At 37.4% G+C, this 27,649-nt stretch overlaps 1 long non-coding RNA gene across 1 annotated transcript in view; it reads left to right on the plus strand.

The window, feature by feature from the left end:
- Positions 1–11,692, plus strand: part of LOC101928849 (uncharacterized) — a 128,376-nt gene extending 116,684 nt beyond the window's left edge. The window contains exons 6-8 of the long non-coding RNA XR_001746918.2: positions 7,548–7,776; positions 8,579–8,699; positions 11,567–11,692. This is a non-coding gene — a long non-coding RNA (uncharacterized LOC101928849). The remainder of the gene's footprint in view (positions 1–7,547; positions 7,777–8,578; positions 8,700–11,566) is intronic.
- The last annotated feature ends 15,957 nt before the right edge of the window (positions 11,693–27,649 follow it).

Consider the following 27,649-nt stretch of genomic DNA (forward strand, 5'->3'; position numbering starts at 1 on the left):
ACAAACAGTCTGTGACTATTTGTGATTTAAAATAACACTAGGGCTGTCAAACTCCTAAGCAGAAAAGAGGCTGAAACCAATGCTCAGCCACTCTGAGAGCATATTCTCTAATGCCAACTTTTGATGTGACCAAGGATGCTAATGGAAATGGAAGAACTCCAGAGGACAGGATCATGGGCTCTAGGAAATGAAGAATCAGGAGCTCCAACCAGGGAGCAGAATGGAGCACAGTTATGGGAACATTTCTACTCCCAGGAGGACCTTGTTACATCTCTCCATAGGATTTCAGAATTGCTTATAGACCAATGATTGTATTACCTCTATTTATGGTTGGGAGTGTTCATTGCAGTAAACCTGTGCACGTTTTCCTGGCTTATCATATAACTTCTTGGTTCAATTTTTTTTGTTCAAATCTCTGAACCAAAAGGAACTACCTCTGGAAATGATGAAGAAGCAACAGGAAACCATTCAGGGATCTGGACTTCAAGTTGGTCACCCTGGCTATATGAGCTGTCTCTGAAGTGGTTACTCTTGGCTTGGGAATGAATTTGTTTTACAAGTAGGAAGAAGAAATAAAGAAATATTTGCCACCAGAAAGGCACACTGCCATAGTTTTTAGGACTGTTCAAAACTACTCTCGATTTTCTCCGTTCCTGGCACATGAAAAATATCACATTTTCCTGCCTTCTTCAAGTTAGACATTGTCATGCGACTGGATTTGATCAAAAAATATGAACAGACATGCTGTGTGTCATTTTGATGAGGAAACATTAGAGTGTCAGGGTGAAACACTGTAGCGCTCTGGTGATCCTAGAAATATGTGTAGGGATGTACCCTCTATCAACCAGATTCCCTAATTAACTATAATAAGCAGAGCACTCTGCTGACCTGCAAGGGACACGTATTTTCCAAAAGAAATAAAGTTCTGTTGTTTTCAGCCTCTGAAATTAGGGGGTTGTTAATAATTCAGCATAACCTGCCTATTCTGCATTGATCATGGGTATGAGTTAGTGTTACCTAACTCCAGGTATGCTTTTCCTATAACGATAGAATGGCCTTTACTTTAAGGTATAAGGTAGGGCTCCTCTGGTTGATCAATGTGATCCATCACCTGAAACTGAATTCAAACCCTGGACTGGCAGCTATTCATTGAGATTATAGCCATTTCCATCATGAAGACAAGAAGAATGCAACACTTTCATGCTTCCTTGTTGCTATAGGCAGCTGGCACTGTCCTCCTTCTTGAGTTATTTACGAGTAATAATAATTATATTTTTTAAAAAAGTCAGAAACCAAAAATTCAGCAGAATTGCGTCTTATCTGACTCCTCTGTATCCCATTTCTCCCTCATTACTTCTTTGTAATCTCCCTCATTACTTCTTTGTTCCCTCATCCATTAAGATGGATAATGAGAAAAGACTTGCATACCTCATGGTGCTATTCCAAGCAAAACATAAACCCTAATGTTCTCTAAGTAACTTGGATGAGAAGTCATATGTTCTCATGCTCATTTACATGTAGTCCAAACCTCATTTGCTATCCTAAGACTTCAAAAAAGAAGTTAGCTCCTCCTGCCAGGCGCGGTGGCTCACGCATGTAATCCTAGTACTTTGGGAGGCCAAGGCGGGTGGATCACGAGGTCAAGAGTTCAAGACCAGCCTGATCAATATGGTGAAACCCCATCTCTACTAAAAGCACAAAAATTAGCTGGGCATGGTGGCACACGCCTGTAGTCCCAGCTACTTGGGAGGCTGAGGCAGGAGAATCGCTTGAACTGGGAAGGCGAAAGGTGCAGTGAGCCGAGATCATGCCACTGCACTCCAGCCTGGGCAACAGAGTAAGACTCCATCTCAAAAAAAAAAAAAAAAAAACAACTTAGCTCCTCCTCAAGAAAAGGTGCTGTGTGAACATACCCAATACTAATTATTTCATCAAAACAAGCAAAGATCCTTTTGAATTTAGTCTTAATGTAAAACTTCTTCAAGGGTATTTCTTATGTCTCTCAGTCAAGTAAAGATAATACACGTTGTGGGTGGTATATTTGATAATGGACATTTAATAATTCAGACCTTTGCTATTGAGGATCCACTATATGCTTGGTCTTATGCTGGGAGTATACAGGGAAGGCCTCTCTAGGAAAGTGACATTGAAGTGAGGGAGTTAGCCAAGGGAGGGGAAAAGCATTCTAAGCAGGAAGAGAGCAGCCTGTGCAAAAGCTCTGGTGTATACTACTTCAACTTATTTGTAAACCTCAAACAAGGCTAGAGGGGAGGATATAACAGAAGCAAGTATGAAAGGAGTTGGGGTGAAGACACAGTCAGAAGCCAGTTTATGCCAGGCCTTGTAAGCTTTGCGAAAGTTTTAAAATTGTATCTGAAGAACAACAGAGAGCCATTGGCTAAACTTACAGTGCCAAAGTTCCTTCAGCCAACAGACACATGAAAAAATGCTCATCATCACTGGCCATCAGAGAAATGCAAATCAAAACCACAATGAGATACCATCTCACACCAGTTAGAATGGCGATCATTAAAAAGTCAGGAAACAACAGGTGCTGGAGAGGATGTGGGGAAATAGGAACACTTTTACACTGTTGGTGGGACTGTAAACTAGTTCAACCATTGTGGAAGACAGTGTGGCGATTCCTCAGGGATCTAGAACTAGAAATACCATTTGACCCAGCCATCCCATTACTGTGTATATACCCAAAGGATTATAAATCATGCTGCTATAAAGACACATGCACTACTCACAATAGCAAAGACTTGGAACCAACCCAAATGTCCATCAATGATAGACTGGAGTAAGAAGATGTGGCATATATACACCGTGGAATACTTTGCAGCCATAAAAAATGATGAGTTCATGTCCTTTGTATGGACATGGATGAAGCTGGAAACCATCATTCTCAGCAAACTACCGCAAGGACAAAAAACGAAACACCACGTGTTCTCACTCATAGGTGGGAATCGGACAATGAGAACACTTGGACACAGGGCAGGGAACATCACACACTGGGACCTGTTGTGGGGTGGGGGGAGGGGGGAGGGATAGCATTGGGAGATATACCTAATGTAAATGATGAGTTAATGGGTGCAGCACACCAACATGGCACATGTATACATATGTAACAAACCTGCACGTTGTGCACATGTACCCTAGAACTTAAAGTATAATAAAAATATATATAAAAAAATAAAAATCTAAAAAAAAAAAGAAAATCACTGAATGTTAGAAATGCAAAGGTTCAAAAGTTCATGTCCGTGCCCCATCCTTCCCATCATGCAAATAGCCAATTGGAATTCCCTTGAAATTCTCATAACTATGTTTGATTATTAGATATTTATTGAGGGTCTTTTGGATGTTAAACATTCTGCAAAAGAGCTGGAGGTATGGACATATCTCTTAAGTTACAGTGGTCATGTGGTGTGCAATGAGAATAAGAGTGTTTTTGAAAAATAAAAATGATTCTATTTGTGTTTACCCTTCAAACAATAATTTTACTTTCTCTAAGTAGGAGACAGCAAAATTATGAATTTTAAAATTCACAAGTTAAAAATTGTGTTTAATAAATAATCCATGAGAGTCAAAGGAATAGATATATTAAGCTACTTTGAGAATGATAGAAATGGAGTAGATGACTAAATATAAGGAATAGCCCTCATGAGTCTAGTGACAAAATTCTCTTAAAAAGCCACTGAGCCAAAAGTAGATTGAGAGAGGAACCAAAAGCTTGCTGCAGTTGCAGAATGTTAAGAGATTTATTTAACATTCTCTGGGCAAAGTTCTAAAATATTCATGCATGTTGGACATAATTATGTCATTTTATCCTCCACTGTGTGTCAATTAAATGCCATTTTTTCACTATAGCTTGTATCACTTCTTTCGCAATTGGGAAATGCAAATAATTATAAATAGAGGAGTCTTAAGTGATAGAGAATTTGTTTTATGAATCTTATAGTGAAACTTTTAAATTTGTATGCTGTACTCAGGGAATGAGAAGAAAATAAGCACATTTTCTCTATACAAAACAGAGAACAGTCCCTTTACAACCATCACATTTAAAGGAGCATTGAACTAATGATTTGAAGGATCAAGAAATATTATAGTGAAGACTGAATAGTGCCTAAATTGCTATTTTCAATCTAGAAATGACTATTGTTCTGTGTTGTTTTAGAAGACTCTTTTAATACCAATGAATGGAAGTTGCAAAGCATCTGATTCTCTTCCAGCTCAAGGGGAAACATTCTGTGGAATCCAGCTTTACAGGACAAATTGCTAGCCTTGGTCTTAGTGGTATGTCAGCAGAGGGCTGCTGTGGATAAGCTTCATAAACCATGGAGGACAAGAGACGAGAGAGGCTCGGGGGACACTTCTGCATTGTGGAAACTGCCTGAACTTTGGGGTTAATCAGATTAGGGTTCAAATCTTAACATCACCAAGTTATTGGCTGGCTGACTATTGGAGTTTACTTAACTTTATCTTTCCTCATCTGAAAATAAAAACAGCCTAGTTAGAGTTGTAGTTAAGATTAAATGATATGATTTACTGTTTTTTAAGGATGGATAATATTCCTGCACGTGTGTGTGTGTGTTTGTGTATATGTGTGTGTGTGTGTGTGTAGATACTTAGGTTGTGTACATATTTTGGCCCATTGTGATTACTGCTGCAATGAACATGGGAGAGTAGATAACTCTCCAACACATTGATTTCATCCCTTTGGATATATACCCAATAGTGAGACTGCTGGATCATATGGTATTTTTATTTTTAATTTTTTAAGAAACTTCTATATGGTTTCCTATAATGGTTGGTACTAATTTTAGATCTCAACAATAATATAAAAGGATTCCCTTTTCTCTACATTCTTGCCAACACTTGTTAGCTTTTGACTTTTTGATAATAGCCATCCTAACAGTGTGAAATCATATCTCATTGTAGTTTTGATTTACGTCTTTCTGATGATTAGAGAAATTGATCACCTTTGAATATATCTGTTAGCCATTTGTATACCTTTTTATATCTTTTTAAAAAATGTCTATTCAGGTTCTTTGTCTGTTTTTCTTTTTTAAAAAATTTGTGTTTTTACTATTGAGTTGTATGAGTCCTTGTATATTTTGGATAGTAAGCCTTAGTGAATACACAGTTTGCAAGTATTTTCTCTTATTCCATAGGTTGCCTTTTAATTTTGTTAATTATTTCTTTTGCTATGAACAAACTTTTAATTTGATGTGATCCTAGTTGCTTAATTTTGCTTTTGTTGCCTCTGTTTTTGGTGTCATATCCAAAAAATCATTGCCAAGACAAATGTCATGAAGATTTTCCTCTATCTTTTCTAGAAGTGTTGCAATTTGGAGTATTACATTTAAATCTTTAATCCATTTTGATTTTAATTTTGTGTATGGTATAAGGTAATGATCCAATTTTCTTTTTTTTGCATCTGAATATTCAGTTTACTAAAAACACCATTATCAAAGAAACCATCCTTTCTCCCTTTCCTTGGCATCTTTGTTGAAGATTAGTTGAGGTATATGCATAGACCTATTTCTGGGCTTTCTTTTCTGTTTCATTGATCTATGTGTCTGTTTTTATGCCTGTATCATACTGTTTTCATTACTATAGTTTTGTTATATAATTTGAAATCAGGAAGTGTGATGCCTTCAGCTTTGTTTTTTCTCAAAATTGCTTTAGCTATTTGAGGTCTTTTGTAGTTCCATATAATTTAATTTTTTTCTATTTCTATAAAAATTTTATTAGAATTTTAATAGGGATTAATCTGGAGGACATTATGATAAGTAAAATAAGCCAGACACAGAAAGAAAAATAACACATGATCTCATTTATATGTGGGATCTAAAAATTCAAATTCATAGAAGGGTGGTTACCAGGGGCCAGGAGGAAAGAGAAATGGGAGGTTAATAAAAGGTAAATAATAAGTTCAGGAGACCTATTGCATAGCATGGTGGCTACGGTTAATAAGAATGTGTTATATACTTGAAATTTTCTAAGAGAGTAGATGTTAAGTATTCTTACTACACACACACACACACACACACACACACACACACACAGATTATTTGTGTGAGGCTAGCTAGCTTGATCATAGTAATCATTTCACAGTGTATATGTATATCAAGGGCCAGGTATGGTGGCTTATACCTATAATCCCAGCACTTTGGGAGCTAAGGCAGGAGGATCACTTGAGTCCAGGAGTTCGAGACCAGGCAACATGGTGAAACTCCATCTGTACAAAAAATACAAAAATTAGTCAGGCGTGGTGGTGCACACCTGTAGTCCCAGATACTCTGGAGGCTGAGGCCAGAGGATCACTTGTACCCAGGAGGTCTACTCTGCAGTGAGCAATGATCCTCCTGTCACTGCACTACAGCCTGGATGACAGAATGAGACACTGTCTCAAAGAAAAACATCCAAAAACACAAAGAAAATGCCCCAAAAACAAAATTTAAAAAACAAATTATTTTGTACACCTTAAAAAAATATGTTATTTTTATTTCTCAATTATACATCAATAAAGCTGAAAAAATTAAGTCAGCAGATTGGCAATTTAAAAAATAGATTAAATGAAGCTATGTATGTAAAATTATTGGTAAGTACTCATCAAATAAGTGTTTAATACATGTTCCTGGGGAAATGAGGCTCACAGTAATGTAGTGCAATTACTGTCTCACAGTAGGTGCTCAGTAAATGTTAGACTCCTCTACCTTGCCATGTCACAAATTGTAGATTGACTTTAATTTCTGAAAGCCTCTACTATCTTCTTTACTTTTCACATTGAGTAAATGCATTCTTATGGGAGTTGTTTTATTGCCTTTCTGGTTTTAATGTTCAAATTCTGTCTTTGTTTTCCCAAGCCCACCTGTGTTTCTTTCTATAGGTAATGAATCTCCCTTCATGTCTTAGAGTTCTTTTTTTGTTGTTGTTCCTTCTTTAAAATTGTAGGGTTTTTTTGCCTGAGAACTTCAAAAAACGAATATAAAAATGCAACGTTTTTGACCTTTGTCACAATTTAAATTAAAAACCAAACTAGTGATGTTAAATCCAAAAAGAATTTGGATTAGTCAGCTCCATTTCTTTTATTTGGTGGCAAGAGGGGGCAGCTACATTTTTTGTAGCATTGGTTTTATTTCCCTTTGTTGCAAAGAAATCTAAGCTCAGTTACAGCACTACCTGTGGCTGCCAAGTATGACATATGAAACTGAACACTACCTCATGTAGTTTCCAGACTTAAAATTCCCTAGGTTAATTAATTTTCTTCATCCTATTGTTATTCATTTCCTTTTTCTTATCATTGCCTCTACCAAGAAGTCTAACCAGAATTTTGTATTACAAATAGCAATGGGCAAATTGAGAAGATCCAAACATACAAACCTCAAGTTATCTTAGTCATCTCTATTAACCAAGAATTGGAAATTTGGGAAGTCAATAAGTAACATTTCTTTTTTCCACCCTCTCCAAAACAAACTTTTCTGCAGAGGAGGTTTTGAGTTGTCCAGCTTGCTCTATAACTGGCTAAATTTATTTTTCAGGATGTGATAGGTTATATTGGGCAACAATGACAACAATTCAGTGGGCTAAAGAAAAAGTTTAATTTCTGCTGATATTGCATATCCAACAAGGACTGGAAGAGGGAATCTTCACTTTGGACCCTAAAAGGTCCAGCCTGATTTTGAAATTTGAAGACAAATTGATAGGTGGAAACACGATTCAAGAGAAGGTGAACACACCATTGTTACTACAGACAGAAGATGGATTGAGGTATTGGCTTTCATGTGTATGCACAGTGGTCTTCTTCACGTGTAACCCTGCCTTATCTCAGCTAATGAGATAACCTTTCAGCCAATGGCAAATAACGTTACATCTACAGAGTGTTGACTCAAAATGTTGTATAGTTTTTATAAAGATAAGCCTAGCAGTAACAGCTATAACTTACTAAGGATAAAATTCTAGACACTGTGGAGCAATTTACATGTAACTTCTCATTTAGTTCTTAACATGTAGATGCCATATTCTCCCCATTTTTCAGAAAAGAGAAACTCCTCAAAAGAGGAGCCACTAGTTTAATATTAGAGATTTAGTAACTTGTACAGTGTGGTAGCAAATAAATTCATACATTATTAATAAGAAAACATTAAAATAATACTAATGGTTTAGATATGTGTAGTCATTTAAAATTTATGAGGTTATTGTGTTTGCATGCACCAATCCAAATGGGATTCTGTGTAATTCTGGAAGGTTAACAGGGCAGGGAACACTGTTTTTATTTCACAAAACAGAAAGTCATAACTCATAGTAATATAATACTGTGCAATTGACAAAGCATGTTTTTATATGTCACCTCACTTAATCCTCACAACATGAGGCGAAAGAGGAGAGGATAAGGAATGGTAGAAATGAAGAGGAGTGGGGGGAGTCGTAACACTTCTCACTTGAGATATCTCACATCCCTTGAGTGAGTGCAGGTGAATTACCTCCATGTCAGAAGAATTCCTCTGGAATCATGTGTCTATGATGGAACTCTCACTTGACTAACTCATGACCTTTCTCTTTATTCTTTCAGGGAAGAGTGGCTTATTTAATTGGTGAATTTTAGAGAAGAAATTGAGAATGTCTGCTACTTTTCATCCCTCCTGAAACTACTACTATTTTTAGAGGTGCCTAACATGTTGACCTGCTCTTTGGTAGGTGGTAAACTTGCCTTGCAAACTCTTCTGCAAGAAAGGCTTGGGATCTTTCAGTTTAGTTTATAACTGACTAGATTTATCAGTCCAGATTGGCTAGGTTATGCTGGGTAACAAACAACACCAACATTCTAGTAGATTTTAAATAAAGGTTTAACTTCTGCTTCTGCTTATACTGCTTGTCCAACAAGTGTGAGTAGAGACACAGCCTGATGGAGACTTAATCTTAACATTCTCAACTATGATTACCAAAGCAGAAAAATAAAACACATTAAATCACATGCTGGCTTATGAAAGCCTCCATCTTTAAGTGACATGTGCACTCTCGTTCATAGTTCATTGGCCAAAGAAAGTCACCTGGCATGCCTAATTTCAAAGTGGTAAAAAAATGCAATTCTTCCATGTGCCTAGATGAATGAACTACAGCACATATGTGGTGAATAGCATGGTGAGTGTCACAGTGAATCAGTGTAAAATATACAACTCAGTGGTTTTTAGCATATTTGCAGAGCTGTGCCACCATAATCACAGTCAATTTTAGAATATTTTTATCACCCCCAAAAGAAACCCATACCCATTAATTGTCATTGTCTACACTTTTGATTTAATGAAAACTAATCAGATAAAAAAAGAAAACATTATTTTATTTATAAAACACATTTGATTTTACAAACAATAACATATGCATTAGGAAAGAGGAAACATTTAGTTCCTTTGAGCTATAGAAACGACTTCTAGGTCTTCAAGAAAGAGTTGGGCATGAGGGGATATGTTCTCCTTTGTGCCTGATTTTCCCATGGATTAGAGGTTTGCTGACATTGTGTCTTTTGGCTCTTCCAAGAGCTACTGCTTTCTCCTAAAACAGAATTTTGTATTCAAGTCTTGCTTCTAATCTTCCATGTTCTTATTTTTTTTCTCTTCATCACATTGCAATATTAAAGAATTAGCATGACAGTTTAAATGCATTTACACAATACCTAATGGTAAAATGAATGTTATTATCATTGTCCTATATATGTGCAATTACCTGTATTTATACAAAGTTTCATCACAAAAGTTGGCTTATTTTAACTTCATAGTAAGTTGTAAGATACCTATAATTATCTAAATTTTACAAATGAGAAAATAACACTCAATGCTAGAGGTAGAACCTAAACTCAGATCTACTAATTCCATGCCCGGGGATCTTCCCTGTAATGATTTTAGAATATCACTTCTTATGGAATTACAAAAGAAACAGGCAAGACTTTTATAATCAGTAGTTTCCATCTGTATCCCAAAGATAAATTGACTCAACATATTCAATACTTATTTATTAGTTCCAAAGTGATTGACAGCTGGGGCTCACAGATCCTTTGGCTCTGAAATATGGAGGGAAAACCTGAGTAGAGAAAAAAAAATGTGATCAAAGCAGAACCAGGGATCACCACAAACTTCAGATCGAGGCACATAAATGAGATATCAGTGAGAATGTCAAGGCAGTTGGGTCGGGCACTAGGAAAGCATAGATGCAAAAGAGAAAATGGAGTTAAGGAATCACAATATGTCAGAAATATGGTCAGAATTAAATCCATTTTCCTGAAACCATAGAATAGAACAAGGCAGAAAAGGTGAGGCATAAGACACCAAGGAGAAAACAATTCTGAGACAAACTCCAGAAGCACGGTATCAGTTGGGCAATTAGCATGGGTCTCTAGTTATATACATTTTTTCTTAAAAAAAAAGAAAACATAGCTTTGACACATATTAGCTACTTAGCTTTGGGCAATTTTCTAACTTCTCTGAGTCTCAGTTTCTTTGTTGTTAAAATGGAGATGATAATATTTATCTCAAGTTGTATTGTGTTCCATGACCACATCAGTTACATATCCTAACTATGTGAGTCCGTAACACCCTACAATTCACATTAATAAGAGCCATTACTTTTACCCACCTCCAAAATGCATGATAGCAACAACTGTGTCTTACTGATTATTGCTGCATTCACAATGTTTCCTGGCAAACAGAAGTCATTCAGGACATTTTTATAGAATGGTCTTGATTAAAATTACATGGATGACGTACACGGCATATAGTAGGAAGTTCACAGATGTTAGATTTATTTTGCTCTGGAGCAGAGTTGAACAAACATTTTCTGAAAAGGGCTAGATAGCAAATATTTTAGACTTTGCAGTCTATACAGTCTCTATTGAAACTATTCCACTCTGCTGTTGCAGTGTGTAAGCAGCCATAGACAATATATTAATTAATGAGCATGGCTATATTACAATAAAACCTAATTCATGACAAGATAAAGAGGGCCAAATTTAGCCCTACAGTCATACTTTATCAATCCCTGCTCTAGAGCATACATTTACATATTACCTGCTATAGCAAAGGCTACATTTAAAGCTTCTGATCCAGTGGCTTGGATGTGCTGCTAGGAAAATGGTTTAATGTGGATAAAAAGAGTGAGCAGTAAACTATGACTCAATCTAACAGTTAACTATTTCTCTCTCTGCACCCTCTCTGTACTCCTGTTCCTCTGTATGATGTGCTTCACACTCTTAATTTCACAGCAAAACGTGTTTTTTTTTTTTTTTTTTTTTCATAAATAGCACCAAGGAAGACCTCCACCCAATTCAGTCTGAACTATTCTGAATAAATAAAATACATATGGATTTATAAACTTTAACTTCATAATTCTAACAAGCATGAAAATATATTCCTTTTATTATTTTTATTGAAAGTAAATGAAGGTTGGGCTATACATCCTCAAATTCCTTCCCATATCATCTTTGACACAAATGTCTTTTGTACTGATTGCAAGTAAAACATTTCCATTTTATCATACTAATTATCTCATTATGCTTTTTTTCCTCTTTGAGTCTTCTGAATCTAATTGGAAACCATCTTGGAACACACATGTTGTATAAAATGAGATACCACTATCTGCATCTTGTGCCTTTTGTAACAATATAATAAAATTGTCATATATTGATTGCCGGAATCAATACCAGGACATTTACATACATTTTCTGATTTAACTTTTGTAATATGGGCAGTCATTTTGATTCTATCGGTCAGGAAGTGGTGACTCAAGAAAGGAAGTAATTTGCCTAAAATTACAGGACTGGACCCAGACTTTCAGATCCCAACATCTTTATACTTAAAAAAAAATTCATCTATACTCTGTGTGTTCTATTTTAGTATATGTTATTAGAAAATAACAGTAATTCTCTCTCTCTCTCTCTCTGCCTCTGTGTGTGTGTGTGACACAGAGGAACTAAATAGAATGATAGGAATGCAGCATCTGGCCACATCTCAGGGATGTTAAATGAGAATCTACATTTTAACAAAATGTCTAGTTAATCCCTATTTATATTAAAATGAGAAACACTGAGTTAGATAAGATTACCCTTATGTTACAGATCAAAATCCTCAGAAACAAAAAGTTTTCCAGCTCAGATTGTGAAGATCTTCTCAAGTTTTGTCAAGCAATTGGGACAGTAAGTATAGCAAAGGTAGAGGCGGGTATTAATGATTACTAACTGTCTGCTTCATTGAGCTCATTGCAACAGTAGATGGAGAATACTGGAGAAGAGAATATAATCAGCCCCCCATACCCATGGGTTCCACATTCGTGGATTCAATCAACTTTGGATCAAAAATTTAAAAAAAAACATGACAATAAAAAACAACACAAATCTTAAAAACAATAAAGCTTAACAATTATTTACATAGCATTTATATTAGGTATTGTAAGTAATCTGGATATAATTTAAATGTACAAGATGATGTGCATGGGTCATATGCAAATACTATGTCATTTTATATAAGGGACCTGAGCATCCCCAGATTTTGGTATCCTGGAGTGGGTCTTAGAACTTATCCCCTGTAGCTACCAAGGGACAACTGTATCTGATAAGGCTTTCTTATCAGAAGCCTAACCTAGAACAATGGGAAAACTAAGAACTGGAGTCTACATTTTTTTTTCTCCCTAGAGAAAATCAATTAGTTCCTTCCAGAGAGGGTCTCTGATACCAGGAAAGTGCTGTTACATGTGGATGCAGGCATTCTGTTTTTCAAGATAACCGTTATTTGATATACCAGATGTTAGTCTGGCTAAAAATAGTAAAAACAGAAAGAACCTCTTCACCTGAGAAACGTTCTTACACATTCTCAAAGAATCCTCCTTTGAAGAATATTTTTCTACCACATGATAATAATATAGGTGGAATAAATCGTCTAAAGGAGCAAATCCATTTCCAAAATCTCCTCCCTTTCATTTGACTTTGATATTCCATTGATTCTTTTTTAAATCCTTTCTTGTCTTCTTCTTTTCCATCCTTCCCTACTCTCACTGCTTCTGGCTCTACAGGAAATATTACACAATCCCTACTTTGCCTGTGCTACCCACCCAAACAACAATGTCATTTCCTTATAATAATACTACTTGAAAGTTTAAAAGGTGAAATAGTAAAAGACTTATGAGCAGTTAAAAATTGGTACCTAGTATCTGTGCAGTAATGTTCATGTATATTCTTTAGAAAATATCCTCAGACCCTATTTATTTTCACTTTACTTTTAAGTAAATGGAACATATCTGTGTTACTTGTTTTTTATCGTTATAGAAGACAGGCAGAATCAGCACTATTTAAGATAAGTTTTAGGCAAATACACAATGAAAACAATAAGAGGGACTGCTCCAGGTATGCAACTAATGGGTGAAAGTAAGAATGATACAAAACAAATACAAAACAAATAGAACTAAGGAATAATAGTAGAAGTTACAGCATTCTGAGCCTTCTAGAAAGAGGTTGAAATGATTCAGCATGCACATGAATGTTTGTAATGATGATTCCATTTCATAAAATAATACTTCAATTACATGTAACATGATGCAATTACTAAAAAATAGAAAATTAGTAAAGTAACTCACAGAAGCTTCTATCTAAAATTGTTAAATTAAAATTTAAAAACCATTTTTGGTCTGTAGGGAGTTATATTTGAGTTATCTGGAGAAAAATGAACTTATGAAGGATAGCATCTTCTTGTCCTCAGACATGTTGAATAAAACAAAGATTATCATCTCTTTTCTTGAGTATTCTAAAATATTCAAAGTCTTTCTAAAACATGTGTCTTAATTGATCTCCCGAGAAACTATTTGTGATTGATGGAGAAGGTAGCAGAATATCAATTTTATAAATGAAGAAATTGAGGATAAGAAGGTAAATTGATCAATGCAAAAGCACTAAACATAGGAGCTATTATTACATAATATTTTGCTCCAACTATTACCATATCAACAATATACTTTCACTTTTTCTTTTTGTTTTTTTCCAATAAATCTCTCAAAAATAAGTAAACTTCTGAAAATGAGGCTGGATGACAGTAATTTAATGATTATTATAATGCTATATGCAGACATCAATTGTAATGAAGTAATTTTTTAATTCATTGTCAGTGTTTCTGTAGTTAGCAAAGATTTAGGGAAAAATAACTGTTCATTAAATATTTATATATAACCAACCGTGCATATAAGGTGTAAAGATACATGAACGAGGAAGATAAAACTTCTGGCCTCTAGGAGCTCACAACTGACACCAGTGGTTCTCAACAAGGGGTTATTTTGCTCCCCCCAACCTCCACCAGAGGACATTTGTCAATATCTGGAGATATTTGTTATTGTCATACTGGGATGGTGAGCTGGTGTTGGAGTTATTGGCATCTAGAAAGTACAGACCAGGGATGTTGTTAAACATTATAGAATGCAAAGAATAGCTCCCTTCAATAAAAAATGTTCAGGTCCAAAATGTCAACAGTACCAAAATTGTAAAATCTTGGCTTACTTCAAGAGGGCAAATAATTACAAAACAAGTGCATGGATCAAGACAAATCCCTATTAGAACCCAAAGGAGCAACAAACTCTGGCTGGGCAGGAAAGAAGAAGTTTCATGGGGACAGTGTCCATGGGCTGTGTCTGAAAGAACAGATTCAAATAAAGTCATCAAAGAAAAATGTACATTAAAAAGCTGGGATCTAAAATAGGGACAGCATTTCTTGAAAGTTCTTTCCAGGGAATACCAAGGTATATAGGGGCATAGGATTATAAAGGTATTAAACACACATGCGCGCGCGCGCGCACACACACACACACACACACACACACACTGTTAACCCGTTTTACATTGTTATAGAAGAACACCTGAGGCTGGATAATTTATAAATAAAAGAGGTTTATTTGGCTCACAATTATGCCGTCTGTACAAGAAGCACAGCACCAGCATCTGCTTCTGGTGAGGCCCTCAGGAAGCTTTTGCTCATGGCAGAAGATGAAGGGGGAGCAGGCGTGTCACGCTGGCAAGAGAGAGAGCAAGAGAGATGCCAGATTTCTTTAAACCACCAGCTCTCATGTGAACTAATAAAGAACTCACTCTTTACCTTGGGGATGGCACCAAGCCATTCATAAGGAATCTGCCTCCATGACCCAAACACCTTCCACCAGACCCTACCTCCAACAATGGGAATCAGATTTCAACATTAGATTTAGAGGAGACACATATACAAACTGTCTCTCACAGACACACACACATGTGTGCAGTTATGCATACACACAGATTCCTGAGGTCAGACTTTGAGCAAAGCAAACTTACCAAAATTAAACAAGATTCTTCACTACATGACTTATTATAACTTTAAGATGTAATTTTCCAAGAGGAGAATATAGTATTCAGCGTTTTAAAAATATATTTAACCAGATATATATTGTTTTAGAAATGCATCTCTTGTGATTAGTGTTACATGGATCACAGCTTTGAAAAATGACATTTTAGACAGTAGGAGATCATTTAAGGACGTTAAACAGAGGAAGTGGTCTGAGCATATGTCCGATTTTAGAGGGTAAGTAGTAACTGTGCAGAAATGGACTGGGGACACACCTGCAGTGGGAAAGACAAATGAGTCATGAGGGACCGGTTAGAAGGTTATCACAATAGTTAATGTTAAAATTAATGGAGTCACGTATTAGGGCTATGGTTAGAAGACGGTTGTGAACTAGACGTGAGGGCTGTCATGTTTAGATGAGAGTAACACCCTTTATGCCTCATCGCTTGCCCTTATTTTCTCCTTTAATTTATTTTGTCCATGGAAGAATGTCCATCCATTAGCAGAATCACAGCATAAAAGGCATACTGTATACGTATGCACTAGGCTTGGGATTTCAACCTACTATAGACCTGCAACTAAGACTCTCTCAGGCACAATTCTCATTCACTAAGTACTGGAGTGAAGCCATTATCCCTAAGTAAGGCAGGCTGTCTTTATAAACTGCAGCCTTGCATGTTTGCACAACACACAATCTTCAGCTTCTGAGGCCCTCTGAATGGTGGAAAGTTGGGCAGCTCATGCATCACTGAGCTCCTTGCTATATGAAGAGCTCCAAAGTTACTGAATAGTCCACACTGCACCATAAATTACAGGGTAGTTATTTCTTAGTTATTTAGCAGTTACAGTGCAATTAGTTCCACTTAATGTCAACTTTTGCCAATACATCTTCCATTAGCCTGAAAATTATAGCTTGGTTCTATAACAGCCGTAATATGCAAGCGGTTTCCAGACTCCAGCTTGCATCTGGGAGGGGAAGGCAGAGAGAAAATTGCTTCGAAAAGCAAGTTGATTTGAATGTGCATGTCTGATCCTCATCCCAATTCAGAAGCCATCCACTGACAACCTGGCAGCCCGCTTCTGTATCAGTGACTGAAGGAGAAGTTTGGAGGAATACAATGCCCACAGCTGGAGAGTATGGTATAGCTGATGAAAGATAGGAATAAACTTGTCAGTGCTGAAATCCTGAGGTCTGACAAGGTTAACTCCAAGCTGTGAGTATATAGAAGACTTGGATTAGTTCAGCTTTGGTACTTAGTTCAGAGTTTACCAACATACCGTTTCATTTTTTAGCTCACTTTCCCACTGAATGTACAAAGGGATTACACAAACCAGACTTACTTTGCTTTTATCCAAAATTTACATAGCCCATGTATCTTATACTTTGCAGAGTAAGATTTTAAAGAAACATGGCTTAGCACCTCTCTCTCTCTCTCTCTACACACACACATACACACACACACACACACACACACACAAAATGGAGTAAGGTTTTATATAACAGGCTTTTTTTTTAACCTCTACTGGCTTAATCCTTCAAAAGGTGCTTGGGTCATTTATTAAGGACTCAAACATAGCATATATTTACTGGGCACTTGCTATGTGCCAGCCATGATGCTAATAATGTTGTTTGAGTTATCTTATTTCATAAGGTTGGTATCACACTGTAATTTCCCTTTTTAATAAACAAGGACTCTTAAGTACTGAAGAAGTTAAATAACTTCCTCATGCAGTAGTATTTGATTTCAGATCTTCTGAAATCCAAAATCCATACTATTTGTTAAGATATATTCTTTAATTTTAATTGAATAACCTCTCAATATGAACCAGAGAGTGGAAAAACTAAGTAATCCTAGTATAGAACTGGAAGGGTCAGGAGGTTACCAAATAATGTGTTTATTTGCACATGTGTGTATGCATTCAGTGTAATTTAAACTGATTCTAAAAGTGTTTGCCAAAAGGACATCTGTTTTGAATGATGACAGCTTTGTTATAAGCACATGTGGCTTCCCATATAGGAGGTCAGCAAGAGCTGACATTTCTCTGTTGTGCTTTCCTTTGCTTGCATGTTTCTTGAGACCCTGATGCCGTCTTGCTTTGATTTATAATTCATTGTTTATATTTGCTGCCTCCCACTTATCTCCAAGGTTAGAGGCTGGATCTTCCTCATCTCCATACACCCTTGCCCACCATAACACATGACCTGGTAGAGCAGCACATACAGTAACAAAGGATCTGGACTGTGCATGACCATAATGCACATTTAATGACATTTCTAAGCCTTGGTTTCTTTATTGGAAAAAATGGGTACAATAACACTAACCTACTTTATAGGAGTTTTGTTAAGGCTAAATAAATATATCATGTAAAGACTTTGACTAGTATCTGTAACAGAGTATATTCACAATGAGTGGCTAAAATTATCATTCATAAGATGATCATTTTGATAATAGTAATAATAGCCTGTTTCGATGAAAGAAGAAGAACAAAGGGAATTTTTAAAATATTCAGTTGTCCAAAGAATCAGGATTAAACACAACAAAGAATAAACCAGCCTCTAGTGCATTATGCACTCTCGTCCTGTCTTTTCCTTTATCTAAAGGAAGGTAAAATGCATACCTCAATTGTTTATATACAAGAGCACATGACTTATCAATCAATGCAACCCAATGTGTGTATAGCTCTAATGTCTATCTCTACAAGCATCCAGACGAGTGGTGAATGACTTCCTCAGATTCAATCAGCAGATTTGCAGTAGAGTATAAAAATTTTCCTCCTTGGTCTCTACCTTAGCTCTTGTTACTAATAATACCACAACTGTGGTGGTCACATTACATCCATTATCTCAGTAGCTCCAAAGACAACCCATAAGATCAATAAAACTTTTATTATTTCCCCTTATTCATCTTCATATCCTGAGCTATCCGACTCAGTGGCTTATTGGTAATGACTTTTTGGCAGTTATTGAATATTTGTGGAATAAATGGAAGTTAACTATAAAGTAAGTTTTGTGTTTAAGTGACAGACAACATTTAATCAAGCAGTCAACCAATACTCATGAGAGTCTTACCCTGGAGAGAAAAGTTATTACTGGATAAACCCTGTACTTTTGCAGCACTTTCAAACATTGTATTAAAATTAAATATGACAACAAGCGTTCTGATTAAACTTATATGTGGTATTTAAAGTAGTTCAATTTGTAGAAACAGAAAGTGGGATAGGTCATTGGAGGTTGAGGAAAAGGACAGTTGCTATTTAAAGGGTATAGAGTTTCGGTTTCACAAGATTAAAAAAGTTCTGGAGAGCTATTTCGTAGCAGTGTGAATACACTTAACACTAGAGAACTGTACACTTAAAATGCTTAAGATGGTAAATGTTATAAAACGTGTTTTGTTAACCACAGTAAAGAAAAAAATAAGCATGACCTTTTCAAAAACTTAGAGCACAAGGTTAAATATAAAAGTTTACAAATACATTGATCCTCCACCATTGTTTCTGTCTCCTAAATCCATAGATTTCCTCCACAGAGACAATAGCTGTTAATGATTTCTGTGTTTCCTCTCAGAGAGTCTAAAACATGTATGTGTGTGTGTGTGTGTATATTTGTTTCTTGTCTTTTTACATTGAAGATGTATCAGGATTCAATCAGAGGAGAACCAGTATGAGACACACATACACTTTTATGCACACATACACTAATACATGCATACACACAGACATGCATATGCAGAGATTTATTAGGCAAAACTAGTTTATCCAATTGTGGGGGCTCACTAAACAAGTCAGAAGTCTGTAGGACAGGTAGGAAGGGAAGATCACATGCAAACTGGAATTTCACAAACACAAGATGAAACCCATTGTGCACAGGCAGTGGTCAGGAAGGAAGATCAAGAAAGAACAACTATAGACCCAGCTGTTTGGAGTATCTGCCTCAGGAAGTTCATGAGACTCTTTCTAAAGGCCTTCCAGGTGACTGAATCAGGGCCACACTGGGTAATCTTCCTTTTAGTTAACTAAAAGTCAGCTGCTTAGGGACTAAAATCACACCTGTGAAATCGCTTCACAGTAGCATCTACATTAGTGTTTGATTGAATAGTTGGAAGAAAGTGTGGGTATGCTACAAAAAGTGGCCACAGCTTTCTTTATATTTCCCGACTCTCCTGATAGAATATTCCTTACAGTTGTCCCTAATAAGAAATGTATTATGAAGTACATCCTGGGACCATGGCTTAGCCTAGCCAAGTTGCTACATCAAAAAGCATCCCAGTGATGCCATGCTGTACGTGATGTTAGTACTTGGTCTTGTGTCAGAAAGATTTATCATACTATTAAATAAAAAACTCTTTTTAGCAGCTACACGATATTTCAAGGCATATGTGTAATAACTGCTTTTAGTGATGGACATTTATGTTATTTCCAGTCATTTTCTCACTTCCAACAATGCCTCAATATTTACCTTATATGTGTCTTTCTTAGATGTACCAATATATTTGTAAACAGTATTATTAGAAGTGGGAATGTGAAGTCAAATCATATATGCATTTAAAAATTTTGCCAAATATTGCTAAATTTCTCTTCAGAGAGGATGCAGGAGCTTGTCCTTCCACCAAATCTTAGGCATTCCTTATGCTCAAGATGGTCCTTTTTCCTTCTTTGCTTGGGTTTCACCCAGCTCAGCACTGTCTATTCTTCCGCAGGGAGACAGAATTTCTCCAAAGTGTGGAGCTTCCCATGAATCTACATTTTCACCTCCTTGAATTTAATCCCTTATACCTGAGTTACTAGAGCAAATATTGAATCCAGTATTGTGCATTACAAATAGGGTATGCTAGCCAATATATGGTAAACTTCTAGAGAGTCACAGGAATTTGGGGTGGGAGATATCACAGAGAATAAAGCATACCCTCTCTCATGTATTGTTCAGTTTTCCTAAAAACTTTTTTTGCAAACTTACGTATCAGCTCTCAGAATTTGTAAAGCCACCTGTGCCCTATTTGATATACACCCTTTGAAACTTTCTAAGGTGATTTTATTTGGGGGAATATTCTAATTAGAGACATAATTGCACAGCTAATTGTGAATAACACTTAAATGGTAGAAGTAAGTGTTCAAAAAGGTTTTGACCTTAGAAAGTGGAGGGTGCAACAAACGCATGACAAGAAGAAGGAAGTAGTTAGATATGTACTGGTGCCTTTCTCTTTTATTCTAAAATACGTAGATCTGTTCTTAATTTGACAATTTTACCTTTTCAGTATGAACTCAAGGCCTAACTAATGATATGACCTCCGTTCAGTGAGATACAGGAAAGGTTGTTAAAGACTTTAAAATGCCTGTGCACTTTCAGGAGAGAGAGAGAATGTACTGGCTCAGATGTTTTGAGTTCAGAGATCTGCAGCCGTTTGAAAACCCAGCGAACTGAATAGGAATAAAATTGTCCACATCAAACAAAAGCTGTCCGTAGCTTTTGTGCCTGGTCTTATCCTTTAGAGCATCAAAGAAATCCTTTTCCTCCATGGACAAAATAACCTCACATAAATCAATAAAGGAAGAGGCAGTGAGAAGAGAGTTTGCCAGATTCAAGCAAGTAGAAGGAGCAAGGGCTGGGGAAGGTCTGATGGCAGGAGTGTAGGGGGAGAAAAGGAGATAAAATACTGATGCTATTCAAGGGACAGAGTTGGGCCATGTAAAGCATGGGTGAGGACAGCAGTTAACAGAAGGGAGACAGAGTGAAGAGAGACAGAACAAAAAGAAGACTGATGGGATTGAGAAAATGTAGGGTAAGTGGAGACAGAAAAAAAAAATCCACTAGGCTGTTTGCTACTCTCTATATTTAGTTAGATATTAGAGATGGGGGTCTTACTATGTTGCCCAGGGTGGAGTGCTATGGCTATTCTCAGGTGCCATAATAACACACTATGGCCTCAAACCCCTGGGCTCAAGCAATTCTCCCATTTCAACCTCCCAAGGAGCTGGGACTACAGGCTTTTGATACATTTTTACTGAATACCTATTATAGGTGCAGGACTCTGAGACTGAGCACCTCCTTGAGAGTTATGATCCACTGTAGCCCTGGCCCTAGTATCTAATATGTTCTGGCACTGTCCCAGGCCCTGGTGACATAGTGCTTAACAAGACACAACCCTCGTTCCAAATGGAGAAAACAGAAGGAAGGTCAGTAGGCAATTATAAGCCAGTGTGATACAACCTTTGAGAGGAGGTACTCGGGGTTACAAGAACACACAATAGGGGCACTTAACCTCCTCCAGGAGAAACTAGAGTTGGGATAGAGACTAAGGAAATGGAAAGACAACAAAGCAAGAGCAGACTAACATTTCCTCATGGTTTATGTAGATAAGGAAAATGATGATGATAATTATAACAGCTAATGTCTGTTTTTAAGGCACTGCCTTTAGTGTTCTCTCTCCTGATCTAGGTTCTCACAGATATTATCTCATATTAACACAGCAGTATTGAGTAATAGCTATTATTGACACATTCTGAATGTGAGTAAATTCCATATTTGAGTTAGATAATTTTCTCAAATTCACAGAATGTGAACCCATCCATGTTCATCTTGCATCTAAGACTATGGTCTTTCCATTACACTATGTTGCTAAGAGGAGAAGGGAGGGAAGATCAATAGAAGGTGAGAGGATGGGAAGTGTGCAAGAGAAGAGAGGAAAGAAACATAATGAAGAATGAAGTTGGTTCTTAGGAGAAGGCAGGCCCCAGGTGAGGAATGGAGGCAGTGAGTTAATGAGCAGCGTGGGCAAGGATGATAAGGTCGTGCAGACGTAAGAAAGTTGCAGGTGAACTAAAAGGTCTGAGTGTATGCTATGGAAGAAACGGATACAGTAGATGCAAAGAGACCATGAGAAAGGGAAGGAGAAGCAGCACAGTTGAGAGATCCCAGGATCAAATAGCAACCATGAAGAGCCCCAGTGGATTTTACAAAACTGGCCCACTTAGGCACTTAACTTGGATTTCTCTGACTCTGGCCTCTCCACAGAAGCCAACATCATCTCTGGCCCTTGAAGTCCCCAAGACAGAGAGGTAATACAAGGCCTGAGATGTGAGCTGAGGCGTCACTGTTGGTCTGTCTAGCCAACATCAGCACTGCGAACACAAAGCTCTGCCTTTCCTGAAAAAAAAAAAAAAAAAAAAAAAAAACAAAAACAGTGGAAAGGATTGCATAACACTAAGGAGAAAGAAAAGAAGAAAAGAATGTAGGTCAGAGGGGAGCCACTGGGTCCAGGCTGTAGAATTACAGAGAATTTTCAAGACCAATCTTTTATTTTATAGATGGGAAAACTGAGGCTCAGGAAGAACAGAAGTCCTGCTCTAGGTCTCTCAGCAAATTGAGGCCAAAGCCAAACCCCATTCCATACTTCTCCCAGTGTGCTCTCTGCCACCCTATCTGTGAGAGGAAGGGGAACAAGAGGCCCAGGGAATGCAGGCAGCTGGATAATTGAAAGAATGTTAAGGGCCAGCTTGTTCTTCTGCAGTTCCCCATGGCAGGGGCATTCACCGCAGGCAGAGCCCATTCAGGAAGCTCAGGTTGTAAGAGACTGTGGGTTTAAGCAGGTGCTGCTATTTCTGTTCTGCTCCCTGTCTATTTTCAACCACAGGATGCCGTAGGAAGGACTTGTGAAACAGCAGCTTTGCTGTTCCTTCATTCTTTCCTTCCCCAATTCGGTCTCCCCTTCTGCAAACCACAACTCCAACTCTGGCTTATTCCTGTAGATAAGGGTGCTCCAACCCTTCACAGGCTGATCTGGGATGATGTGCTGCCTGTCTTGGATGAGTCACTCTGGCTTATGTAGGAAAAGGTAAGGAGGCAACCTCATATGAGCTTTCTGTGAAGGCACCCTGGAGATCACTCAAACTAATATCTTTAAGCTTCCCAGCAGCTGGGGCTCAATATATGTTTGCTGAGTCAATGAATGGATGAATGAATAAATGAATGACTAAAGATTGAAGCACTTCTCTTTAATTTATAAGTGAGAACACTTAAGGCCAATAAGTGAAAAGATTTTCCAAATGTTTTGCAAGTGAATGATAGTGCCAAAACTAGAAGCAGGTCTTCTGAAGAAGCTCAGGGAGCAGGGATGGGGTCATGACACAGCTATGCCATAATAAACCATGAAGGTAATGTTTGATCTAAATCCCTCAGGCTCAATCTATGCTAGTGAGTTCAGAAGTAAATCAAGAGGAAAATCCAGGCATGAGAAAGCCCCAGAGGCAGGAAAGTACATGAGTGCATGAACTCCTTGGATCCACCATAAGAGGTCCATGCTCACAAGGTGAGGCAGGGTCAGGTGTGTAGAGGGAGTTGTAGGTTCCACTAAGCAAGAAAGCTCCATGTATGCTGCAAGAAAGTCAACCCTATGAAATTGCCAAGCTGAATTTCCAAAAGAGCCAAAAACAGGAAAGGATATCAAGGACAGGAAAAATGAAGCAGGATAATGAAAGGGAGAGAAAAATGAGAGAAATTGTGGGTTCTTCCAGAATCAATGAATCTCACAAAGAAATTGCCAGTGAGACCAGCAGCATGTGCGCTAGGCAATCACGAGAAATAATATGAAAGAAAGATAATTTAGAAAGAGCAGTTGATATCAGAAGCGCTATTTGAAGAGGAGTTTTCCTTTAAAAGGGTGCAAAGGAAAGGGTGGTCTAGTGGGCTGACCTGCTCTTCTGGCCCAATGAGAACAGAGAACACACAGGTGCTTCTTCCCCTGAATTATCTCTGAGCTTGAGTAAGAGCTCACGGTAGAACTGGGAAGGGCTGGAATTATCTCTGTAGCAAGAGGGATCTTCTTGAAAATCAACCTCAGTGAAAAACGGCAACAGGTAATTCCAGAAGAGCTTTTGTTTGTTTCCCTAAAGTAACTGTAGAAGAATTAAATCCATACTTGAGAGGGCAGCACATCACTGTTTTATAGGAGGTATGATCTGGTGTGGTACAAAGTGCATTAGATGAATATGCTGTGCTTTTAGTTCTATCCGTGGATTTGCGAGAAATCACTTTCTGCCTTGAAGCCTCAGTTTTCCTATCTATAAAATACTAGTGCTTTATAAGATTTTTGAAGTCGTAACCTACTTTATTTTGTCTCTATTTCTCCTTTGTAAATATTTACAACATCTTTCATTCCTTCTTACTGTGGGAAATCACTGGGGGTAGAAAAATCACTTCTTTTTTAATTACTTTTACCTGGGTAATAAGGGCGAGGCTCTTCAAAAAGAGAACCAGGAGCTCTGGGAGGAAACCAGTTTAGACACGTGTTGGTTATTGCTTAATAATTAGTCAGACTCTGAGGTCCTTAAAACAAAAACACGATGATGTTGAGATGATTCTGGATGCTTTTACATTTTAGTTCCTGGCAAGGCCCCTTCCTCGTATGCATAGGCAAAACTGCTTCTTTAACCAAGGTCAGGTTAAATGGACTGGACGTGGACAGCTCTGCATTTGGCTGCAAGCCACTCAGAGCTCAATAACTATTGCATTTCGTCCTGTGAACTTTGTGACTGAGGTCGGTTTCACATTTCTTTATGAGCGCTCTTTCTGCAAATGCCTTTCCTCACAAAGAGCATTTCTAAAGGTTGAATATGGTGATTAGTGACACATACACACTTAATCTTCTCCAGTCTTTCCCTGTCTGTGGCTCCCCTCCGTGCTTTTAGTCCTTCGAGTTTTATGCCTGTATCAAGGAAATGTTTTCATCTGTCTCACTGCTATTTTCTTTTCTGTCTTATAAATCCTTAAAGAAATGTAGTATGAGTGAATTTAGTGAGAGGCTGGATGGATGGCTCCAGAGAATGAATTCTCTTCATCTGAAGAACAGTCTCTATACACAGAGAAGCAAATAGCATCTTCCAATTCTGTCAATGTGATTATTAAGCATGTATAGAGCTTTTCCCTCTTTCACTATAACAGTTACAAGCAGTTTAATTAGTTGGTTTTCACCCCAGTGTTGTAAAGATAGATGATTCAATTTATCCCCTCTTAGATTAAATGCGCATTTGAACCCAAGCACTCTGATAGAGTACCTAGAGTGCTCGGCTTGGTGTCAAATGCCCTGGGTTAATCTTTGGGGCCTGCAGTCTTTAAGCGACATGACCTACTACAAATCAGTTCATGATTCAGGGTCAAAAAAAAAAAAAAAAAAGCACGTTGTGACACCAACAGAGCATGCATTCTCAATGACAGTGAGACAGTCTGCTTCCCCAAGGGGGTGATGATTGGTTCTTATAAAAAGAAAAAAAAATCTTCCTCTTTTTATATACAAAGCATGGACTTGCATAATGCATAGAAACAGATATTCAGCATATCTGTGATATTAAAATTTTATAGAAAGGGGGGGCAATTAGGAAAAAAAAGTCTAAAATTTCTCCTCAGGAGGTATAGTAATGAAAAAAGTTGAGAAACCATGAAACAGAACAGGGATGGAATATTCTTTGAGCACCTACTGTGTTGCAGCCCTGATGCTACCATTAAGCCTCACAACAACGCTGTAAGGGAGCTGTGGATAAGTGTCTTTATTTAATACGAGATTCAGGATAGGAGGCAACTCAGATAATATGTGCCAAATACCTTTTAGCAATAAAGTTCTATACAAATATAAGATGTTATTTCAGGTATTAGTAATTTCTTAATGCCGTATATAGCAGTTAGCAATTGTTGTGAAATAAACTACCCAAAGCTAATGACTTAAAACAATAACCATTAGTTTAGCTCACCATTCTGTTGGTCGGCAAATTGATGTGGGTTCAGCTGAGCAGTTCTGGGATTGGCCAGGCTCCCTCACAGACCTGCGGTAAGCGACTGGTCATTCAGGCAGCTCTGCTCCTGCAGGTTGGCTGGCTATTGGCTGCAGCAATGGGGATGCCTAGGACTAGTGCCTATCTAGATCCAGAAGGACAGCCCCACTTTGTATTCCCAGGGTAGCAGCAGGGTTCCAAGAGACCAGCTGAAGTGGAAAAGACCTCTTGAGGTCTAGGCTTAAAACCAACACAGTCATTTCAACTATAAAACATTTGTCCAGAGCAAATCCCAAGGCCAACACAGTTTTCATGCAGTAGAAGGAATTACATTTCTTGATGGGAGAGGCTACAAAGCCACATTGCACAGGTTGTGAATGAATGAAGGTGAATTGCAAAGGGTATGAATGAATTGCAGGCTTTAGGATAAACAGTCTTTCTTATCACACTAAACAGGTATCATAGTCACTGGCTTGTCTATCTTGGGACCAAAAACATACGTTTAAAACAGTAAATGATGATACGAATATTAATTGTTACCATCCTCTGGCTTTTCATTTTTAAACCATACTTGGAATGTGTGAGCAAAAGAGCGGACACAACATCCCCTTATATGAATGTTATGGGATAGTGGCAAAACAAGCACTTGCTAAATAGCTCCAGAAGAGTTTAAGAGATACAGTCCTTTTCCGAAGCTTGCTTTAAAGACCTTCTTTTTGAGAAAGGCAGTCTAATAGACATGCTAACTAGCCATTCATCTCAAGTTCCCAAGTTTTATTCAAGCATTAAGTTGGGGCATCAAAAAGTCGGTGCTTGGACACCATTATATCAGCTTTGCACAAAATTGCCTGCCTGAGTTATGATTTAATGTCATACCCTCTGCCTTTATGGAGGGTTAGTATGTGAGTCACCCAAGAGAAGAATATTTCTATATCTTTTGTAAAATTCTGGTTGTAGATAAAGTGCACTGAATTATCTTTGTATTTCCTTTACATATAGGTGTACATGCTAAATTTCTGGTTGGGTTAAGATCCAGAAAGAATTGTCTCTGTTGATGAATTTGTATGTTTTCTGTTATTGTGTAATTTCAAATGTTTCTTTTTATAGCTTAGCTGCTAGAAAATAAACTAATTGTCGTTGTACTATAATCTTGTCAACTGAAGTGTCTGAAAGTGCCAATTCTATCTGCTTTTTCTCAAATGCATTTTCAAATAACCTTATATGTTATTTCTCCTTACTTGCCTTAACTGCTAAGTCACCTTAAGCTATTTCAAAAGAAGTCAAAGGATATATTTAAAATATCTTTGTTTTTTAAGTGAACTAGTGTCCTGGGGAGATGTTTGCATAATTATAAGTTTGAGTTTGAAAGATTAGCCCTTCAGATGCTATTGTTAATCACTCTATGTACAAAGACTATGTTAAGCTGCTTCCACATGGATGGGGGTGCCTGGGTTTTGCTCTTTGATCCTGATAATTTTGCTTTCCTGAATTGTGGTTATCTGCATTGAAGAGTCTTTCTACTGAGTTATGCTTTTTTTCTATAACAA

This window comes from Homo sapiens, chromosome 9 (genome assembly GCF_000001405.40).
Source record: "Homo sapiens chromosome 9, GRCh38.p14 Primary Assembly".
In the NCBI taxonomy this organism is placed as follows: Eukaryota; Metazoa; Chordata; class Mammalia; order Primates; family Hominidae; genus Homo; species Homo sapiens.